The following is a 23573-nucleotide window of genomic DNA, read 5'->3' on the forward strand; positions in this document are numbered from 1 at the left end:
ATTCTCATAATAGTAGTACTCTTGCCACATCAGCATGGTTATCATTGATGCAGTATGTTAGTATAGCTGTAGATTGCACCATCATATGGCCTCATCAAACATTTAATGATTAGGAAAAACAAGTTACAGTTCAAAATCTGGAGGATAATGGGTAGAGATGGAAATACAGAGAAGAAAAAAAGGAAATTAAAGTTCAGTGTTTTATTAATGTAAACTTTGGAAGGAAAAAATCAAGTGATCGATATTGCTATAAATGAAGCCATGTTCTCTGGTTATATTTTTTTCTAGCTTTGGCCATTAACTATAATAAATTCTGTAACTTACATAATTTTTAATAACCACAGAAATCCATGAAATTGACAGGATTCTTTACAAATGGATCAGAGCTTACTGTCCCTCAATAAACCTCACCTTAGGCTCTCTCAGAAAACTGTTTTAATTATGAAGCTTGTCTCTCTGTGGTTTATCATTTTGGCCAATGAAATGCATCTGTTTTGGAGCTTGCATTTCTCTAAGATAAAATGAGCTTTTACCCCACAGTGTATTTTTTAATTTATAGAGTATATGTATAGTCTTTCTTAAAAATTCACTACTAAATTGAAATGCTCTGAGAAGCAGTATCACATTAGGTAGAAACAGGGGCTTTCAAGTCAGATCACCTGGGTTAGGAATCCTAGGTTCATATTTTACTTGCTGCTCTAGTTTATTTTCAAATATTAATGATAAATTTATTTTCACATATTTATTGGCTATCTCAACTGCAATATGACATTAACAAGGGTGACTATCTCGTAGAACTATATGTGAGAAAATTGATGCAATGTGCCTCACACAGAGCAAACATAATAAATCTTAATTGTATTTATCGTTGTCGTTATTACTACATGAAGCAATAGAGTATAGTGGTTAGGAGTAGTGGCAGATGAGGGAAGGGTAAAGGGAGAATGTGGGAAAGATCTGCATGTGCCTAGAAGTCTTTTCGCTCACATTCCAGTGGTAAGTATAAATAATTGGCCACATTCTGATGCAAATGGGGCTGGGAATAAAGTCTTCAGCTGGCAAGCTGCTTCCCAATGACAACACAAGGCACTTGAAGAGGGAGCACAACACACATTTTGGTGGAGAACGATTCACCTCTGCCACAGCGAGAGCAGCATCAGTGGTCTCAATCCTGGTTTTCTGGAATACAAAGCCTGAATTAAGAGCCTGACTTTATCTGGGAGGTACAAATCCAGGACAAGAGAGTGAAGTGAAAAGGAAGTCAGGCCAGAAGTGATGGGCAGTGGTACAGGGATGTTACCATGTTGGCTCCCCACTACAATGAGCTTCAAAGAGACGGAGAGAAAAGGGTCTGCAAGTACGCTGGTGAAAGCTTAAAGCAATCTGTGGGAGGAAGGGAGCAGAAGAAGGAAAAGGAATTTATCTCCCATATTTCTTCCCATTTCCTGCACTTTTCCCATTTCCTGCACTTTTGATTAAAGTTCACCACCCAGAGTCTTCACTTGCCTGCTTCAGTCGGACCTGCCTCAGCCATGGGAGGCTACTCAGAAAGCCAGGTCCCACTCCTGCAAAGTGGCATTTCATCTAAAGTAGGAAGTGGTGGAAGGAGCCAAAGGCCCTTCTATAGTCTGGCAGCCTAGGGGGAAAGTCTGGTATTCCAAGAAGGTGGCTGGTCATTCTCAAGAGGTGGACTGCATTGCCCAGGCAGGGCTGGTCATCTGCAGGGACAGCTGAGGTTGACTGAGTGGATGACAGTCTAAGAGGAAACTCTGAGGAGGCACCTGAGACATCAAAAGTGTACCCAAGCTATTCACCTTGCAGAAATAAATTGCCTTTTTAATGTAAATGTAAGACTATATCAGTTGAGAAATATAATCATTATATTTATTCCAGCAAGATTTTGATTCAGAAACAAATACAATAGGTGCTCATTTCTTGAAAAGTGTAGAATACTTTCTCCTCAAAAACAAACAAAAAGCACATAACATTCTAGTGCCCACAATCACTAACAAAGGTTTATTTTTCTGAAAATGTGGTTTGATTTGGTCATGTAATATACTGAGAAATTTCACTGTAGAAACAATTTCTGTTATTATTAACATCATTTATATTCATATACATAAAACCCACATCTTATAATCAAAGTATCCTCTTTTATGTTGACAGGGGCCATACTTTAGACATTAATAAGATCAGGTATCCATTCAGCCCTCTTTCCTAAATCATTTTGCCCAAATGAGAATATATAAATGAGTTTTATCCTCCTCCATGAACGATTTTCCAGAATCAAAACCAGTTATGTGATAAAACTTAATTCCTCTAAACAGATTTTGTGTTTCGAGTTTCAAAATGATAAGGACAATCTGAGTCTATATTCTGGAATAGCAATTAATCCAAAATAAAAAATGGCGCTAATAACCTATTTCATAAAATCCGAGCTTTGTCTCTCTTTTTGAACCACATCTAGTAATAAGGGTAAGAGGCTGTGCGGCCAAATGATTTGTGGCCTGCGTATATGCCCAATCTTCATCATGGAAGCTATCATCAAGCTAAAGAGCATCTGGCCTTTGATATTTTCTTAATATACATTAAAAGACTATGGACCCCAAATATCCCATAAAGAAAAATGGGAAACTTAATCCCACAGGTTTAATCTAAGTCAGAGAAAAAAGTATTACAGAGAAAATACTCTTAGCTATTATTGGGAAATGGTGAAGATAGACGAAGAGAATAATAAAAATCAGAAGTGCAAGAGACCTAGGGTCAATTTTTAATGACTTCACATTCCTCTAAAAAAGAGGCTTTTATGTTTTATTGTCCAAAAGCAGTAACTCTTAAATAATTCTATTTAAGTATTTTAAAAATCAGTCATTTCTATTTTAAGTTTACCCCAGAAGAAATATGGTGTGTACATTCTTAGATTTAAATTCATATTTAGTCATTTTTTAAAAAGTGTATTTTTATAATGATGTAGAATATGATCCATTGGCATCATGCTGTTCATTAGCAGACTTTTTCTTGTGTTTTATAGCTGTAGAATCGGAAATATGTTTTCTATTAAAGGATTCTTTAATTTCAGGCTTCTTGAATAAAATCTTGATTGTCTTCCGAATAAATTCTACAACTTTTCTGAACTACTTATTCCAATAAGTAGTTTAAATGTTTAACATTTAAACACTGAGAATTTCTTCTAATAATCTCGATTCCCTAAAACTGCTCTTCAGGCATAGGTCTTTCTGCTGTAGCTTTGTGAAAATGAACTACTTATTAGGACCATTTTTACACAATCCTCCAGCTACTTATTCTAGTTTTCTCTTTTTAAAGCGAATATATTTATTATTACTTAAGAACTTTGTTTTTTTATCTGTCATACTTTTGAATTCACCCCAAATCTCTATTAGCTTTGATTATACCATATGATCAGTTCTTACTTAAAGTTGGTATAAAATGGAAATATTATTCCATATGTACTTCTCACTTTGTGAACTGTCATTCTGAGATGTATTATTTATTTTTATTTGTTAATGCATTGGAATCAATCCAGATATTTTTCATTGTCATTCTCTATCCAGTTCCTCAATTATTTCAATAGTTCACAAATAACTGTTGAACACTTATTTGGGGCCACTTTGCTAGATTCTGGAAAAATAAAGAACCATAAGTCAAACCCATTCTCTTACTGGATAGCTAGGGGAAAAAAAACACACCAAAAAGGAGTAGCAATGTGTGACTAACAAGAGTTGTAACACAGTATGTTTCAAAGTAGGGGAAATGGTGGAAGGAGTGAGTGACTACCTGCAGAGGGAAAATTCTCCCCATGGATATTTTTATTTTTTTAAGTTGTGTCTTGAAAATGAGCAAGATTACGGCAGATGGTAGGCAAGCAGGGTAGATTGAAGAGAGAGATAAATGTATTTCAGATGAAAAGAATGAATGCATACTCAAATCCCAAATGTCTGGCGTTGTGAAAACACATTGCATTTTGGAAACTGCCACGGATGTAGCGTAGCTGGTGTGAAGAATGGGAGAACGCATAGAACCGAGAGGGATGGTTGGAGGAGGACAGAAAGGAGCTCGTATACCTTACCAAGGGATTTGGACACTATCCCGTAGATAAATTTTCCATAATAAACAATGTGAGGTTTGTGTCTCACATTGAACGAAAAAAGGTCAAAATACAGAGAATGAATTGCAAGGGTTTTTGACTGGCCACAGAGGCAAGAGGTAGAAGAATTCTTGTGAGAGAAAATAAGAACTCTACTGAGGTTAAGGTCATGAGATGGAGAAAAAGGAACTAATTCCAGAATTCGAGACTTTGTGCCTTTTGATTATGGATGGTGAAAGAAAGGAGGGAGTTAAGAAACTTTCAGGTGAAGTGAGTGAAGGGATTATTAAGCAAGACAAGCAATAGAGAAAAGGAGGCAGGTAGGAGAAGAAGATAATGATTTCACTGAGGTGACTGTGCTACACTCTCATGGTAATGTAGAAAATATAATTCTGACACATCAGAGGGAGCTGGAGGCCAGAGGCACCCATTGAGGGGTCAACATATGGCAGGTAATGGGACAAGACTAGGGGCAAGACCAAAACCCATAGGAATCACATGAGTGAGGAGAAATGATGAGGGCCTAGAACGCTAAACCTGGGGTTACTAACATTTAGAAAGTGGGAAGAGGAAGAGGACTCAGTGGAAGAAACTGAAAGGGAAGAGTATAAAAGGTGAAATGCTTCCATGGCCAAGAAACAAGAGGGCTCTAAGGAGAAGGGCCAACAGAATCTAACAGTGCAGAGTTCAAGTCAGATGCAGATGGGGAACAAGGCATCAGATTGTTTTTGTTGACCTTAATGGTTAAGACATTTTAGAAAAGTCAAAGAAGGAAGTAAATATCAGACTGCAGTGTTGAAGAAGAGAATGGAGTCTGAGCAAACAGAGAACATGAATTGAGGAGAAGGACAAATCTGGCAATAACGGAAAGGAAATAAGTGAGATTGAGAAAAAGTGAGGGTGTGGAGTTGATGCTTGCTTTTCTTCTTCTTCTTTTTTTTTTTTAAACGGGTAATGAACATGGTTAGAGGCTGAAGGACACAATCTATTTGAGGGGGAGAAAGTAGAACGAAATGTGAAATTCTTATTCTTGGACAACTCAGGAAATGAGGGACAAGACTGGATGAAATTAGGAACTAGAGATAAATAAGCCTTGGGCAGAAGGAGTATCTCTTCCTCTGAGGCAAAGCAGGACATGCCTTGTGAGTCCTTTTTGTGCTTTATGGTACTGACAGGTCAGGTAATTTTGACACTCACAGAGGCCACTGTCCTGCCAAGGCATGGGAGTTTATTAGACAGATGGGCCAGTCACAGCCCCAGAATTTTGGGGCTGGAAGACAAAGTGGGAAATGACACAGGAAAAAAATGGAAAATGTGAATTATTATTCTTGGACCTGAAAAAGCCATTTTTAGGTGAACTAGTAGGAGGAAAAAATGAGTGTGGAGGGGAGGCCATGGATTCCATTGTGATCAAGAACTTTAAACTTGGAATCCGATAAAAGTAAATTCGTATCAGCTCAGGCACTTTCTAAGTACATGACCTTATGTCAAGCACTTGGCCGCTCTCTGCTTGGGTTTCTTCATGTATAAGTTGAAAGCAATGGTAATATTTTCAAAAGATTGTTGTAAGAAGTAAATGAGAAATCAATATTAAGCTTTCAGAGTGCAATAGAGGAAGCTATCATTAAACTTTATATTCATTTGTTTATTTGGATTACACAGACTAAGTATGAAAGTGGGAAGAGTTGTGACTGTTCCAGCACAAGGGCTGTGATCTCCATGAAGTCAGAACAAACCATTTCGTGGGGTGGACTCATAAGGGTTGAAGCTTTCAGAGAGCAGTGGCAAGAGGAAGAAGAGAAAGTGACTAGGAACACATACAAAGTATCTTAAGCAGAGTCAAAGGCCCAGCTGAAGAAGGTAGACATTATTTGTAATATTGCTACCCTAAGTAGTCAAAAGTTATTTCTCCAGTATTCGGGGATATGAGGAATATTATGGAGGGGCAAGCAGATGAGAGCGATATCCTTGGAGGAGAGGGCAGGTGGAGGGGGTGGTTGAAGTGACTGTGGAATCAGGAATATAGGACCTGAAAGGAAGTGAAGCCAGGAAGGAATTCAGAGACTGGGAGATTGCACAAAGGTCAATGATTTTAATAGCATCAGAAACACACGGATAAGAAAATCTCCAGAAATGGAATCTGTCAGATGAGCAGCAGAATGAAAATCACTGAAGTGGAGACAAGGTGAAGGAGTGAGATTGTAAGGAGTGCAAGAGACGGGCAAGGTCCTGGAGAGGATGGCCACAGACAGGGTTTGGATTGTGATAAACCCGTGCCAGGTACTGTGGAATTTGCCTTAGGAGGCTGTAGGGTAAACACACCTGATAGCAATAGCTTAACAATCTCTTTGGAATGACCCTCTATGGCAGACACACCTGAATGTGTGTTTCAAGCTAGGGAATCCAGGAACAGCTAACCTGGAGATTCGTTCCTTGTCCGTGAGGAACACCTGAGCCCTCATCCAGTCTCGTGGATCACAGGCTGCACAGGGGAATGAGGCTTTGAGTTTTGGGTTGGATGAAGGTTGCCAGGTGGAGGTCCTTAAGGGGAGGGCTTTAAGTGAAAATGCTATATAAACTGCATGCTGGTAGCAAGAGGTTGTGGTTTTCCTGCCCAGCCCTCCGCCACTGGGCTGTGGAGCCCGCTGCTGCTGGTGCATTCTTGTACGTGAGGTGTTTCTCCTGTCCAGCCTGGCACCACTGGCCTCTTTCCCCGGTATGTAAACCCTTAAAATCCCATATCTTGTTTGCTGGCTCTGGGTCTCGTCTTTGGCCTCTTGAACCTCAGCCCTATTGGGTTAATAAGGATTCAGCACAACAGATGCTGATGAGAACATTTTGAGATTGACAAAGCTAGATGATGAGAAAACTGTAAAAGCTTAGACTGTTTTACCCACAGGTTTCCTTTAGCTCTATAGCATATGGAGTTTGTAGGTAATTATACAGAAATCTAAAGCTAATATGAGATTTTTCAAGGAAGAGTCAGTATCTCCCTTATCCCTGGAGTTCAGGGAGCCCAGCACAGTGGGTAACACATTGACACATAGTAGGTGTGCAATAAATGTTAATTGAGTGACTTTGTGTAATCTCACATTTAATCCAAATATGAGTCCTTTGAACTGTTTCTCACTTTTCCAAATCACAAAGACTGCTTAACCATTTAAAAAAAATACAAATCTTAATTGCTATAAAATTGGGAATTTTAAGACACTAAAGTCTTCCTTCCAAAGCACAAAAGCTAGTTGCATTTTGGTATTTTTCCTTCATTCATGAATTCAGCAAATATTCATTGAACAACAACTATGTGCCAGGCACTGTTCCATACATTGGGAAAAACAGTAGAGGAAAAGGCAAACAAGGCCCTAGCTCAGGGAGCTTAATTCTAGTGGGGGAAACACAGACAGTCAGCATATAAAAATATATATGTTAATTTCAGTTAGGAGGAGGGCTGCAGTGAAATTAAAACAAGTAGTGGGATGGAGAGTAACCAGGAGTACTGGAGTACAGCTCTTTTATATAAAAGACAGTCAAAGAAGACCTCTGACAAGGTGACATTTAACTGGGAACTGAAGGATAAGAAGGAGCCAGCCGTGTGAAGATTGGGAGGTATTCCAGGTAAACAGGTGGTGTAAAGGACCTACGGCAAGATCACGTTTAACAGAGAAGGACAAAAACAAGATGAATATGTCTATTCTGGAGTCTAGTGAGAAAGCCATAGCTTTTCCCAAATTCTTACATGTTTTTAGCATATGATCACAGTGTCTATTCAATTTTTAAGGGCTGCATCATGGTTAAGAACAGTCTCTGCAGTGACACTGCTTGGATCTAAATCCTGGCCCCTCCTTTTCTAGCTGGGTAACCTTGAGGAAATTTACCTAACTATTCTGGCAGGTTTTCTTACCTACAACTTAGTGATGATAATACCTACCTCATACAGTTGTGAATGTAAGATTTCACAGAATCATTTGGTTAATATTTATTGCACACTTATTTTGTGTCCATGTGTTAGCCACAGTGCTGGGCCCTAGAACTCCAGAGGCAAGGAAAATACGGAATCTTCCTCATTTTAGCCTTAGACTTCTGTATAATTGCCCACAAACTCTCTATGATACAGAGGTTATACACTAAACGAATTATCAATAATTGTTGTACGTAGGTAAGTACCTGGAACATAAAAAGTGCTTCTTAAAATAATTATACCTTTTTAACCCCCTGACTTGACTGTATGGGAAAAATAAGCCATTTTGTTACGTACTCTTAATGATTATTTTCGTTGGTTCTGAGTATCCCCTAATGTAATTAAATCTATAAGAAGCATGTTGTTGTTAATTTTTCTACATCATAAATCACTTGACAAAGACTATCATTATCATGCTTTGAAATCTAAAATAGTGATCACCTGGGTGGCAGAGCGTGGGTGAAACAATAAAAACTTTTCACTGATCAAAATCTCTTTAAGGAGCATGGCTCATTTTGATGGGTTTCTCCTGAGGTTACTAAATAACAACAACAAAAAAGGTAGATATGCTATCAAATTCTATCCTGCCGGCTGGGTTTATCCTGTAGGAAAGTTATACAATGTTTCAAAAAAAAATTCAGTTGCCAGAAAAAAGTCTCATAATTTACCATAAAAAAACAAATTTCTGGCTTCTGAAAAAGCCTATTTATGTTGAACTTATAGAATTGGATATAATGGCTAAGAGGCAACAAACATGGACAGAATATGTTTTTAAAACATATTTACCATTCTTTCATAATTTCATGTTTTATCCTAATGTTCATAATGTTAAAAACATTGGCTAAAAATATAATAAGCTTCATATACTAAAATTCTGAAGTATTTTATGGACAATGACTTGAGAAAAGTATGGAATCTACAGAGAAACCTAGAAAATTTATCTGTGGAGAAACTTCTTGAAAAAATAGTAAAGAAATTCTCAACTGGTAAACTTTTTAAAAAATAATTGGCGGTATGGAGGTATGCCAATGTAAAGTTGTATAAGTATGATTAACTTGAATCAAGTGAAAATATGAAAAGACAAATGTGGGTGATATTCCTATTGATTATTGTGAATTATTGAAATAAAAAACATCTTTTAAGTAATACCCACATTGTAATTGTGTAATAGGAAGCACACATTTTAATCCTTTTGGTCTAAGTTAAATTTACCAAATGAAATTATATTTGTGTGTATAGTCTTAAAGTCTGAAAAGTGAATTTCTAAAAGGCATAGTTGACACTTAATAAATATGTATTGAATTTGCTAACATGTGAAACACAAACCTGAAAGGGGAATTGGAGATTAATCCACCTGCTCAATTTTCTAGATGATGTAGTCAGATTCTAAGCAACTCTACTATAGTCGCAAAACTAAAACTCTGTAACAGTTTTTTGCATTGCACTATGATTTATCAATTTTTTCTTTTACTGTTAGGTCTAAAAGTAATATAACTTAACATGCTTTTATGTTACTTTAGACATTGAAGAGCAATATTCCATATTACTAAATAGCAGATTTTAAAACTTTCATTATTCTTAAATTACTAAAGAATACCATCTCAAAATATCAGTATTCTAGATATTAATTTTTCCTATGGTTTATAGTTAATTAAATAATTTTAAAAATAAGTCTGTAATTTTAGACATTGAAAAAAATTAGGTCCCAAATGAAAATTCCTACAAATTAGGTTTCCCCTGGGGAAAACAAAAAAGGCATTATATCATAAATATGTATAGCTGCTAACTCAATAAACTCCTATTTCTCTGACATCTATCTACAGTGTTGCATCCTCTTATTCTTACTTCATTTTTGTGATTACAGAAAACTGGGCACAAACCAGAAAGTGTGGATTTGTGTGGAGCACACATTGAATGGGCCAAGGAAAAATCGAGCAGAAAGAATGTCTTTCAGGTAAGAATGTTACATATATTCAATTTATTCCTATTCTCTCTAAATCTGAGCTCTCTTGGGTAACTAAAATAAGACTACCTTCTTGTGATGTGCTCATGTACATGAACTCGTTGTCTGAAGGTCATGAAAGGCGACTCCTCTTCCCAGTTGAATCTTTGGTTTTGTTGCTTTTTTTCTGGCGACTGGTTGCTATCTAAACACAAAATGTATGTTGCACGTTGATTAATATAAACACACAAAAGTCATTGAAGTTTGCAGTATATGCGATAGATGTCTGGAGTTCAAACATGGGATGTTTGACTTAAGTAGATTTGATCTAGAATTTTCAGATGCACACAAACTAAGACTCACCAAGTATAAGCTATTTACATTCATTGACACTCTTGCCTTCTAGTCATTAATTACATTTACCAGTATAACTTACAAGAATGGAGAGGGCTGAACAGCTATAAAAAATAGATTCTTTCATATTGCTTACTTTAGTTTTTTGAAAAAAAAAGTTGATTAATAATTGCAATCATATTCGATTGAATGGCAAGAACCAGATGAAATCCTTGAGAGAGATAAAATTGGAAAATGTAATTTCACACGTTACCAAAATCACCTAATTGCGTGATTTATCTGGTAATTAATAATTTGAGATCTTGGAGTTTGATTTTTGTTCTATTTTATATGAAATTTAATTTTATATTTCCAAAGTAACCAGTAATTAGATATATTTTAGAATTTATATAATTTAGTAGAAGAGAGATAGAGTATAATAATTATTTTTTAAATTAAATGTCTTCTGAGAGCATGTTGGCCCTTGAATAAAAGTCAATTCTTCTACTCTTAAATGCTTTGCTGAAATTAATATTGGGTCCTATGGAAGCATAGGTAGGTGACATTTTCTACCGACACTCTCACTGAGGGGAAGAAGCTGGTTTCCAGTTCGGTTTGTATTTTCCAGATGCTATTCAGGTATATCCAAATAATTTGGGTCCATAAAATATTTTAACACATTCTAGAATAAATTACTTTTCTGGTTCTAGTTTTATTTTGCTTAGGTATAGAGATTTTTTATCAAACAAGAAAGTGAGAGAATATATGCAATTATTATTTGTCAATTAAAAATAAAATTTAAAAAGGAAGGAAGGAAATAAAAGGGAGAGAGAAAAGATAGAAGAAAACCAAACACGCTTGTCCTGAAATCAATGCTCTAAAGCTGAAAGTGACTAAAATGTGGCTTTACAGAATCAAGAAGGAGAAATAAACTTTCTTTCAAAGGGAGGAACTATAGATCAGTGACTTCCCCTTTCCCCCAATTTCTTACTCTTATTATTCTACCATAAATAACAGTTTAGAGGTTATAATTCTAGCCTTATGACAACTTAGATGATCAACATAAGAAGCTCTGAAGTAGACCGGGAAAGCTCAGTGGTAGAGCCTTATTATGTACTGTGAATTTAGCATCCTAATCACCAAAATTGTAAAAGATGTTGAAATTTGTCATAGACATTATTCTTGGACAATAGCAATTCTTTGGAGATGGGCTAAGCCAGCCTTTTTCAGTTTCTTCTGTTAATCTTATGAAGAGTTAAATTAGTTCACAAATGAGGATGACAGTCAGCTATATTTGATGCATACAGGGCTGAAAATATTGATGAAAAAATTATGTATATTTTTATATAACTATGAACATTATATGCACAGATAGACATTTCAGCCACCTATATTGACAGTGTGTATCATCCCAATCTTTTCAGGATATGACTAATCACCTCCTGTTGCAATTTTCTATTTGATTTTTATATTTTTGAATGTAGATCCTTCCAAAGATATTAAAAACTATTCTCACTTTTGGTAGCTTTCTGAAGGTGAAAATTTTGCCAGCTAGTTTTGTTTGTAATGTAATTGAACAGTTCATGGGGCCTCAGTCTTCTTACAGACGCTTTATTTTTTTTTAGTCTTGTACTTTTAGAGAAACAAGAGGTGATCATAAGGATATTGTGAATAACAAACCAAAAGAAAAGATTCAAGTTTCATGTTCTGTTTCATTCTTTTTGAGTGAATCCCTTGGTTTCCTTGTCGTGCTGAAATCTTTTCATCACCTAAATGCATGAGTTTTGGTAAAACTGACTAATACATATCCATAGATACAGACTATGAGAGTAAGCCTTTTGAGAGGAACAATATAAATAGCTTCTATAGTTCTGTTAACAAAAAAGCGTCGGGAAGGATTTGCCAGAGAGCTAAATCTAGATGACTTGCATCAATATTTGATTAGATACATTAGCTGGTCGAACTCTCAAATGATCAGAATAAACATGATTATGTCTTAAAAACATGGTATTAAGGCATTGTTGGACGTTGGAGTGTATGTGTGCAATGGTTTCATTACCTGCAGAATAATGAAGTGTTTCTTCCTGACTGAAAAAGACCATCATAGCTTCAGCTGATGTGCTACATTGGAAATAGCTTTAGAATTCCAAGTTTGAATTAGGCTTGGTGTTCAATCTCAGTCTATGAATTATAGATTACAGATAGCAAATGACTATTGAGATTTTTGGTTCAAGGAAAATCAAAGAAGAGCAAAATTAGAAATATTTTAAAATTTGAAATCTGTCTTTAAAAAGTTTGATGGATTAGCAATTGTATGCCATGTAATTACAATGTCTGCAGAGAAGTTGAACTTAAAATGAATAGGAAAACAAACAAAAAATTGTATGTGCCTGAGAAATGTTGCAAGTCTCAGAAGCACACATTTGTGACAACCAAAAATGGACAGATTTCATTTATTTCATTTGTTCATATATGCTGTTTGGATGTTTGAGTTGTTTTCTCTTTGTACTGAAATCCAAATTTTCCTTCCTAGTTGAAATCCTATCAAACTGTTGACATGGACTGAATCTTATTTGATTGCTATGTGGAAACATAACAATGACAACATTAATTATTAAGTTTTGGTATTCAACAACTTTCAGTAAATCAGAATGATACTTGCTAAGTTTAAGAATATCTGCATATTTTATAACAGCACACTCTTTGGCCTAATTGGTACTTCTTAACAATAAATAATAAAAGAATTCTATAATAAAGTATGTATTAGATGTTATAATTTATATTAAAATATATACATGAATATACATGTATAAAATATATATACTTATATACATAAAATATATATGCAAATATACATATGTATATATACTCTACCTGTGTGTATACACACCTAATAGCTTGACCTTAGGAAATAGAGTAAGCACTTCCACACACAAACACAGAAAGATAGTACACATTTATAAAAGATCATACAAATTCTAAGTTAAAGTGGTAAATGTCCATTGCTGCTAACTTTTGTTTAATTCTGCATTTATGTTCATTGTCAAGGACTGTCACAAGTTTGATGTAGTTCGAGAAACCTTTAGCAACTCAGCTATAACGAGCTGGGTACGCGTTTTCTTAGTTAACAGCAACACTAGGTCTTCATCAGGGATAGAGTGAATAAAAAGATTTATGTTCAAACCACATGTTTTAAACATTCCTGCTAAGTGCTAGTTTGCTCTTTGGTGTTTAGCCTGAAATTTAAAGCACTAAGGATTAAAAGGATTACAACATAATCTTAAATAATCCTAAATGTCATTTACAGAGAGATAGTTGTAATAACTAAATAAAACCATGTGAAAGGATGGCAGCATTGTCAGGCAGCCTCCCTCACACAAGCGGGGCTACTGTCACCTTCTGTTTCCTGGCTGGGCATGTTAGGCAGTTACAGTCTTTCAATAAGAAGTTCAACTGAGAAAATGGCTGCAAAATAATTTAGAACAAGTTTGTTTAAAAAAAAAAAAAACTCTTATATCTTGTTTCTAAGTTGAAGGAAATTTTTCAGTTAGGTTTTGTCTTTTCCTTTGAACACAAACCTTTCTGAGTTAAATATTTTGGAAAGCCTAGGGAAAGGAAGTTCGTGACATGGCTATCAAATAGACAACTGATGTATCTCTAAAAAATTCCCCAATGTCCAAGGAGATACCCCCTTATTAAATATGTGAGAGTCTCAGAGCACTATAATTATTTCCGTGTCATTAAATTTAGTACTTAAATATCCTTTACTTAAATATTCTGTCATGCAAATTAGTCTTGTCTCCCCAAAGAAAATACATAGAAACTATATCCCATACTGTCTTCTACTTATTAAGCCAGAAGACTGAACACTTTTTAGCTGAATAATTGTTACTGCTAAGGGTACAGTTGCATTCCTTTAATAAAACAAAACAAATTCACTCCTATTAAAAAAAAAAAAGTTATTTGTATCCACAATATAGGCCCTGTACTCCAAAATTTCCAGGGTGTAAAATAGGAAGTAAAGATGAAGAAGATAACTGTTTCCTGGGTCTTTTTCATTACAGGTTATAAGACAGCATTATTTATTTAAGATAATTAAATCATTTTTACTCTAAAAATTTACCTTTTCTTAGAGCCAGACAGTGACTGGCCTCAGTTTTCCTGAGCTTCCTTTAAAATAAAGTTTTTAAAAACATACATTGGGCTCTTCTATAGATTTCATGCTTTCAGTAGGATATTTCTGCCAATTAATAAATCATGGCTGATTAGGAATATGTCAATTACCTGTTTGCTGCTTGAAAGGCAGAAAAAATTAAATGACTAAAGAAGAGGAAAGTCTGTTATCCTCCCCCCGCCACCACCAATTTGTAACCTCAACAAATATCATGGTCACATTTCCTGGATTTGAGATTATTTTTCAAGATTCTTTTTCAATATATTAAAAAATAGATCTCGGGGGACAGATTCTGTCCCTAAAAGTAAACCTCGGAATAGATTTATTATTTATATTACTTCTCTGACTTTGGATGGAGTCTTCTGACTACAATGTATATTAAACTTTTTTATGTAATATTCTCCATGGATATGCATTACATTTAAACATAATTTGATCTTTCTGATCTGAATATGTCTTATCTTAAAATGTTTAAGTACTACTTAAGTTTATTAATGTGAAGATAATTTAATAACATCTTAAAAAAACATAATTTTAAGCCAAAAGGAAAACTACTGGTATTGTGCTTTTATCCATTTCCTTGTGTTACAAGTGGTGGTTTAAAATAAATCCGAGCTTTTACCAATTTTCTTTCATTTTTCAGTGCTTGTAGTTAGACTAAATGCAAAAGGATGATTCTTCACATTCATACATGCATTAGATTTCCAGTAAAGCTGGTTTCACTTTAGAGAATTAAAGTATCTTAAAAGACACGGCATTAAAAATAGACCAGAGTAAGAGAAACATTCACGTCTAACACAGTTGTTTTTTGCCCTACAGCTTGTCCCCAATCATTTCATCTACCTATTAGATATTCATCCAACATTCAGGAGGTGCAGTGGAGAGAACACATGGGTCTGGGGATGTGTGTTCCAATTTGGGCTATGTCAGTTGTAACTTTATGCAGAACTCACAGCAGGATCCTCCTCCAACTTTGTCACACCAAGGAAATAAGAGATGACAGTCCTCACCTCACCTGCCCATCTGTGTTAATACTAAAATGAAGCAATCCTGTATGTTTGTTTGAGAGCAACTACAAAGAAGTGATTTTAATACAAATACAGCAGACTTTCATTATTCATCTACTAACCACATCATCTCACAATGTTTTGAGGGAAATTCCAGATATGAATTTTAGAAGAATAGGGTTGAGAGAGGTAAATATCTGTGAAATGTAACTCAAAATTTCTGCTCTACTTCTGGTCTTTCTGTTGCCTTCTGAACTTAATAGACTGATATTTAATACACAACATGAAAATCTTTTTATTGTGTGACTAAGAATATAGATCCTTAATCTTATTTTTAATGTGCTATTCTTAGTGGCATTAATGTAATATCCAATTAATTAATCAATGACATATTCAAATTAATACTTAAAAGCATATCACCTTGAAAGCCCTACCAAGCTGTTAATAGAAACTTGCAAAAGGTAACATAGAAACAAGTGTAGCAACTATGCCCCAAGTGAAAGAGGGACAATAGTGACACTTATTACTCCCCTACTGAGGTATCAGTACAATACTGTTTTTCTGATTGAAGGGAAAGAGATATGATTATTTGTATGATGTTTAGCTTCACTTTTGTTGATGCGGTCACACAGATTTTGCACAGAGGGAGGCATAAAATTTTATAATTAGAGATTTGATTTAAGAATATGAATGTCAGGGGTATATAAAGATTGAGTGCAAATGATAGAATCTGGGGACAGGAAATAAAATTGATTGTAAGAATCTAGATGAGATCAAGAGAGCATGTTAGCTTTGACTGATGAAAGGAGAAACAGAAACAAGAAGATGGATGGAAAGTACATTCTGCAAATGAAGAACATGCCTATTGGTTCAGATAATGTGACTTGGGAACCACTGTCTTTTTGCACGTTTAATTTTCTAAGAAATAATAAAACTTTTTTAAAAAATATATTCTAGACATCTAGAATTAAGATTTATAAACTAAGTGTATCGTTAGGGAAAACAACACGAACTTTATGTTGCCTGGGTGATCCCGTGAAACTCACTAGTCAAAGCCTTAGACATCAAGGATGTATGCTCATTTGCACACCTTCATTGTTTCATTACTAGAGGGCATAATGCTGCCTTACTAGATTCATTCTTTTTGAACTATCAAAGCAGCATGCAACCGGATGACAGTAAAGATTGAAAATAGTAGTATTAGTACATTTTGGTCCCCAATTAGTGAAGGGAACCAAAATTTTGTAATTCCAAAATAACATAAAACAAAAGAAAAAAGTCAACTTGGCTTCTTCTGTTTCTAACATTTCAGCAGAAGAATGGATGCACGTCATCTAATGAACTTAGACAACTGGATAGCTCACTTCACATTGCCTTCTGGAATAGCTGGCTATGTGAGCTCAAAGATATGAGTTGTGCAGTTGGAATAAATTCTGGGTTTTAGTCTGACACCAGGCTAAATGCACCATGCTGTTCTTCATTTACCGACATCATATTGTGAATCCCTTCCTCTCATGGAACATATTCTGTTTCTTGATGATTTGGTAGAGCTAGTGTGGTAGTCTCTATGCCATCCATGGGCTCCTGTGGCTTGCAACGCACTTTCTCTGTTTTCCCATAAGCAGAATGAGACTAACTGAGCCACATGGAGATCAAACCTGAGACTTGACACGATGCACTCCAACCTGGGCAAAAGAAACCACTGCCACTGGGGAATTTTATGGAGTAAGGTAGAATCAACAAGTGTATGGTTTTTCTACTTGTTATTTTAATCTCATTTATAAAGTATAGAAAATATATTGATGCTAGCAAGACAATATTCAAGCCAAGGGATCCTTTTTCATATCTGTTTCAATATCTTTTATTTTTAAAGAGAGCAGCCATGTGTATTTCATGCTGTGTATGATTTTTAATAGCAAACAGACCTATTCCAGAAAAAGGAACAATTTAATCCCTAAAGCTGGTACATAATAGATGGGGCCAGTAAATGGTATCACATTTTACAGCTTGTCCATAAGGATGACACAGGATGAAATAAAATTGAGTGCTTTTGGATAGCATAGGATCACTGGCTGATAAATAGATGACGCTATTCAGTTTTTAGAAACATAAGGTAATGAAGCTGGATCTGAAAGCAAGAGAAAAAATACATATATATATATATGTATTCAGTGTTTATATGCCACAAGCCACTGAGCAGGAGGAAAATCTGGGCAGCGGTGAGCAAAGCTGAAACCTCAGAGCAATGTTTAAAGCAATATAAGAAAATAACAAAGCAAGCATCCATAAACAAAGGCTTGAAATGCACAGAAAAATAAGTTCAAGATGAAAGGAAAATGCCCACACTTATGCATAACTGGAAAGGCCACTTATGGCATCTATGCATAGAGTCTCTCAATGTAAGAGTTAAACATACTACTAAACATTTAGCAGAAAAAAAATTCAAAAGGATATAAAACACTGCAGGGCAGTTAAGGATTCTTGGTATTTGAAGAGGGGAGGAGGCTGCTCTTTTATCTTAACAAAACAGGATGTTGAGAGGTGGCCTAAGTGAAACAATGAAATGAAATGGTTGATGTTGGGGAGAAATCAGGAAGGAAGCTGTTTGAACTCTTTTCAGATAACACTGATGGGTATGAGATGGCTTAACCAAGGGAGAGGTGTTCACATGGAGGGTTTAGATGCATTTCTTTTTAGTAGAGAGCTATTAGATTCTTGACCTCAGCCTCATCAATTTACCTAACATTGCATTTCCGGCACTGGGAGAAATTCTAACAGTCTCACTTTCTGGGTGAACAAGTGTAAACTAAAAAAATTACAGTGGCAAAATTAACAAATTGCTGAAGCACCTTGAAAACGGAAATACCAATAATGAGGATTCCTTTCCCAAGTAACTTAGAAAGACCTTGATTGTGGTCTTTTTTTTTTTCTTGAAGTTGAATTTTAAGCAATGCTTCATTTTCAAAATTCCCATGCCCTTGATCAAGTAAAAGGCAAGCTTCTGATATTTGAGATCTGCGATAGATTTGAAATCAATTCATGGAAAGGGAGGTTACGAACATACTCTTTTGATGTGTAGGATGTACTGATAGGGGTGGCAGAAAATTATGTGAAACCCTTCTCTTTTGACAGCTATACTGGAACATTTACAACCACAGATGTTATTTGTCCATCAGAAAAGAAAATATTTGTTTCAAGCTTCAGGCATTTTCTACTACAGTATCAATATGAAATTCAACCTCAATTTAATGTTTAATGCATATGAAAATAAATATTTGGAGGGGGCAAATACTAGAAAACAATTGAACCCCACAAAATGTAACTAGCAATATGGAAAAAAATGCTGGCTTCATTACGAGCAAATTTGTCCTTTTACTAAAGTAAGGATTGTTCTATTATTAACATAGGAAATCTTAGATGGACTGCAAAGAATGCTGCATTATTCATAAAAGCATTGCTGCCATCTGGTGGCTACTTGGCATTTCAACACTGGCTTCTCTGATTCGGTTTGACTGGGTGCTCTCGGGAGGTATTTAAAGAAGAGCTTTAAGTGGTAAAATATAAATGTGGACATCCTCTGGCCCTACATGTCATTCATCTGATGGCAGTCCTTTCTCCCTGTCTTGTCGTGGAATGGAGGATTCAGGGAGAGGAAATGAGATACTTGGATATCTTTTGTCCTGAATGTGAAAGTGTATTTTACATGGCTTATCTAAAGAAGTTACTCTTGGCTGTTGTTGACTGATGAATTTTATCGACATTCATTTCTGTTGGCAAATAAATAAGTATATACCCAAATATTAAGAAGGTTTATTGAATCTAAAGATATGCTATTTTGCTTAAATAAGAATATACATGAGATGCTTTAATCCCTCATTTGGATCTAAGCATGAATTTTTTTAAGTTATCAGTCACTGAATTTGACTTTAGAAATAATATAATTTAGAATGTCAAAAAAGAAAATGTACAGAGGTTCATAAATTTCTTCCCATTTATTCAATTGTTATATTAAAATGGGAGGATTGTTAATGACTCAGAAACTCGTAATCCTTCTTCATGAATTTTCAAGTTAAATGACAAATATTATTCAGTTCACATCGCACTTTTTGTTGAAAATAAAATAGTTAAAATTTAAGAAATTTTGATGATTCTCAAGCATCAGTGTATTAACTCATTCTTAACAAGAACCAATTAGAATTAGGATATCTCTGTAATTTTAGTACGGTTTTAAGTTTCCAATAATCGTAGAAAGTCTCCTTGGTATGTAATGAAAACCTTGACCCTTTAAATGGCTATTTATATAGATCACAAGTCTTTGAAGATTATAGGAGATAATGAGTTAAAATTGCCCCAGGAGGAAAGCTGAAGTTTTCTTCTGAATTCTCAGGGATGATATTTAATAGTTAATATTCAGTTTCTAGTGAATATTTCCCTGTATCATTAAACTGCCTTCTGATTTAGTAAAAGTCAGATAACAAAGAACCATTACACTAAATCTGGAGAATTATATACTGAATTAATATTATCCTTTACAAGAAAATGTGGAAATGCCTATATTGAAAGTAAGACTTTTGGGTTTTATTTTTAAATTTGTGGGTAAGATTTTCAATCTGTGAATACATACTTGATATTCCCTTTGTTACTAGCTATTTCTACCACTAAAAATAATTCCTTCTTCAAAATATGTAATTTGGCTTATGGAAGAATGTTGCTCATCTTCTCTAGGAAGATGGCTCGATTCCCCATCCTTCCTCTGTTCTCCATTCTACTCACATTTAGGAAGGATATGAACAACAACAACAATAAAACCTTGCAAAGAAAGTAAAATCGATAATGATTATATCCCTGTCTCTTTCATCTGTAAGTATAAAATTTCAACTAAATTATTCTCCTAATAGACTTGGATACAACCCTGTGGTGGTTTCTAATGGCTCCATAATAGAGATAGTAAACCTTGTAGCTATGGTCAGGATGCCCTAGGTTTTAGTCATAAGTTGCTAATGTTTGTTTCAATAACATTTGCTCTTTGGCAGCTTTTACAGCTACTTAACACTAAATTCCCATTTAGTCAGGAGGATCATTCATATACTGTAATGAATGATGTCACCTTAAATCCTTTACTATGTAATTGCTGGATGTTACATTTTATAGTGGGGCATTTGATGGTGTATTTGTTTATGCTAAATTTTATGACAGTGACAGCTGTATCTTGGAGGAATGACCTTTTTTTTTTTTTTTTTTTTTTTTTTGAGACGGAGTCTCACTCTGTCACCCAGGCTTGAGTGGAGTACAGTGGCACCGTGTTGGTTCACTGCAACCTCCGTCTCCTGAGTTCAAGCAATTCTCCTGCCTCAGTCTCCTGAGTAGCTGGTATTACAGGAACCCACCACCACACCCGGCTAATTTTTTTTTTTTTTAATATTTTTAGTAGAGACGGGGTTTCACCATGTTGGCCAAGCTGGTCTCGAACTCCTGATCTCAGGTGATTACCAGCCTTGGCCTCCCATAGTGCTGGGATTACAGGCCTAAGCCACGGTGCCTGGCCGACCCTTTTCGTTCATAGGAATCTAGTTTCAAATCTTTTTAAGCAAATAGTTTCATCATATTTGCCTTCTGGCTTAGGCTAGGTTCCCCTGAAAGAAAAATTTGAGACTAGGAATTGTGTGCAAGCAGTTTATTTGATTGAAGAAAGCAGAAATTAAGAACTAGCAAGAGTGAAACAGAAGGAAGAAAAGCCAATGCAGAACCCATTATTGAGTTGGTCATAGGGTAGCTAGGACAACTTGCCAGAATTTTCCACCCAAGGATAGACAAGATGAAGCATTTGTTCATTAGCTCCTGAGCCTTTGGTTTCTGGTTGCCTCTGGGTGGGGATAATGTCTTTAGATCTTGAGTTTCAGGCTGTTCATGGGTGGGCGTGTCAAGAAGGCTCTTTCAGGTTTCCTACCCTGTAGAACCAGGAAATATCCACAGCAGATAGTAAAAGATGTGTAACGCGTGCTGAGGCAAGATGCAGTCAGTACAAAGGAGTTGAAGTCCACACAGAACTGTTGCACCAGCTGCAGCTGTAGTGACACCCACACAGCTAAGAGGATGTGAAGCAGGGCACAGGAAGCATCTGATGCAATTTACCGCTTGCAATATTCAAATTTACTTATCTCATGTTAAATCTAATCTGTTGCCATGTCTTCAAAATGATGGCTGGCCTCAATCTCTACAAAAGAGCTAATAAAAATGTTTTTGTTTAAAAAATAAAAATAAAAAAGCTCCACTCCTCCACTGCAACTGTGTATGAGGCCATATTTGATATTTATCATCTACCACCTTCACTCATTCTAGATTTTCCTCATCCTCAGCCAGGAGGAGTTTAGTCGGTTTTGTTTGTCTGAAGGAGTCAATCGGACCTTTGTATATGCGGGGTCTGAACCTTTGATTTTTTTTTTTTTTTTTTTTTTTTACTTTGTCACGCCCTGTTCACTGTAGTTGACAGTTCACTGCTCTCATCAGGCCTAGATGTACCACAAGACATCTCACTGAATCATCTGACTTCCAGATTCATTCTTCCTCCTGCTGCTGTGCATATGCAACCTTACTTTCTCATTATAATTAGGGTCAGCTATCCCCATGAATATAGTAGCTATTTTAGTTGCCCTCTTGTACACATCATGAGTATCCATAGTTACCATGCAGTGGTCACAGCTTTGAGTTCATGATACTTACTAATCCCTGTTAGAAGCAGAACTCTCCCGTATCCCAAGAATAAGAATATCTAATTCAGCAGAGCCAAAGTTGCAAAACCCAGAAGCATACATGCTGCAGATAGGTTACTACGGGGGCTACTCTTACTCCTACCTTTTGGTCCTTAGACCCACATATTCCACCTACTGGAGACACCATGTCATGTAACATCATGTATCAATGGTGTGCCATGCATTGATTCAGTGAATATACTGCAACTTGGAATATTGAACCCCCAAAAAACAGGATCCTGTCTCCAAACTACTACCTAAGCAGACACTTTAAGAGGCCACTTCATTATTAGATCAGGTTGATTTCTTCCAAGTGATGTGACATTTAGTAAGAACGGCAGATCTTAAGATCACGTGCCTGGTGTTTCATTTCCCTCATTTCCTTGATTTCAGGCAAGATCATGAATCACCCCACATTGCTAATTCAGCATTCTTAAAGATCTGGAATGGTAGGGCAGGCAGAGACACCATAATCAGAGAAAGCAAACCCATAGAATGAATCACTGTTCCCCCAAGGATGGAAGGGGTCTGATGTTGTCAGTTTGCTGTCAAACACCTGGTTTGTCCTGAAGGGGTCAGTATCTGCCTCTGCTGCTGGAAGATCATGTAATCAGTGGTAGGTAGCCTTGGGGAGAAAAAGCCATGATGTTGAGTGTGTGCAGCATCTCCATCTCTGCCACATGGCCACTCCACTCATGGGCCTATTGTGCATGTTGTAAGTGACTAAAGAGAGGCTAAAGAACTTCAACTGACCAGTCATCTGGTACATTGGCTTACCCTCTGGTAGATGTAGACAAGGATCTGCATGCTCTGGATACATTCTTATGAATCTTCTAACATTTCCCAGGCTTCTTGTTTCTAATCTTTCAGACTGTCTCCTTCCAGGCCTCTAAAGAGCAGGAAAAGTCACCTTCCATTGCCTGGAAATCAGTCTATATTCTAACCTCAGGCTACCCTCCTCTCAAGATGGCTGCTTGCCTCTCTGTCCTGTGGGAGGATTTCTCTTCACCACAGTCCTATAAGATGACTGGGTGGGTCTACGGTGAAGCTGCAGTCTTTTTTTTTTTTTTTTTTTTTTTTTTTTTTTTTTTTGTGCTCACCAACATACTGAGCTAACCCATCCATGAATCAGGCTTGAGGTTTTTTTTCATCATTCATCAGCTGGCTTCAAGCATCTCCATGAAGCCCTAGGGGTGAACTCAGGGAGAGGCACCAGTGTTAACAGTGACAAGAAAAATGGGAATTTGAGCCATCTGTTCATGGAACTTTCTTAATCCCTCTAGACCTGTTTAGGCCAAATTCTGA

At 36.0% G+C, this 23573-nt stretch overlaps 1 protein-coding gene across 11 annotated transcripts in view; it reads left to right on the top strand.

Moving 5' to 3' along the window:
• ARHGAP15 (Rho GTPase activating protein 15) overlaps window positions 1–23573 on the top strand; it is a 638934-nt gene that overhangs the window by 111165 nt on the left and 504196 nt on the right. For 10 of the 11 annotated variants that reach the window (XR_007078554.1, NM_018460.4, XM_017004500.3 and 7 more), the window contains one exon: window positions 9928–10017. Coding sequence is in view for 10 of the 11 variants with exons in the window: in NM_018460.4 (NP_060930.3) it covers window positions 9928–10017 (90 nt within the window). In the remaining variant the exon portion in view is untranslated. Of the gene's footprint in view, window positions 1–6656; window positions 6822–9927; window positions 10018–23573 lie in introns of those variants that run through there. The other variant, XM_011511483.1, reaches the window with a different exon arrangement.

This window comes from Homo sapiens, chromosome 2 (assembly GCF_000001405.40).
Source record: "Homo sapiens chromosome 2, GRCh38.p14 Primary Assembly".
Classification (NCBI taxonomy): domain Eukaryota; kingdom Metazoa; phylum Chordata; class Mammalia; order Primates; family Hominidae; genus Homo; species Homo sapiens.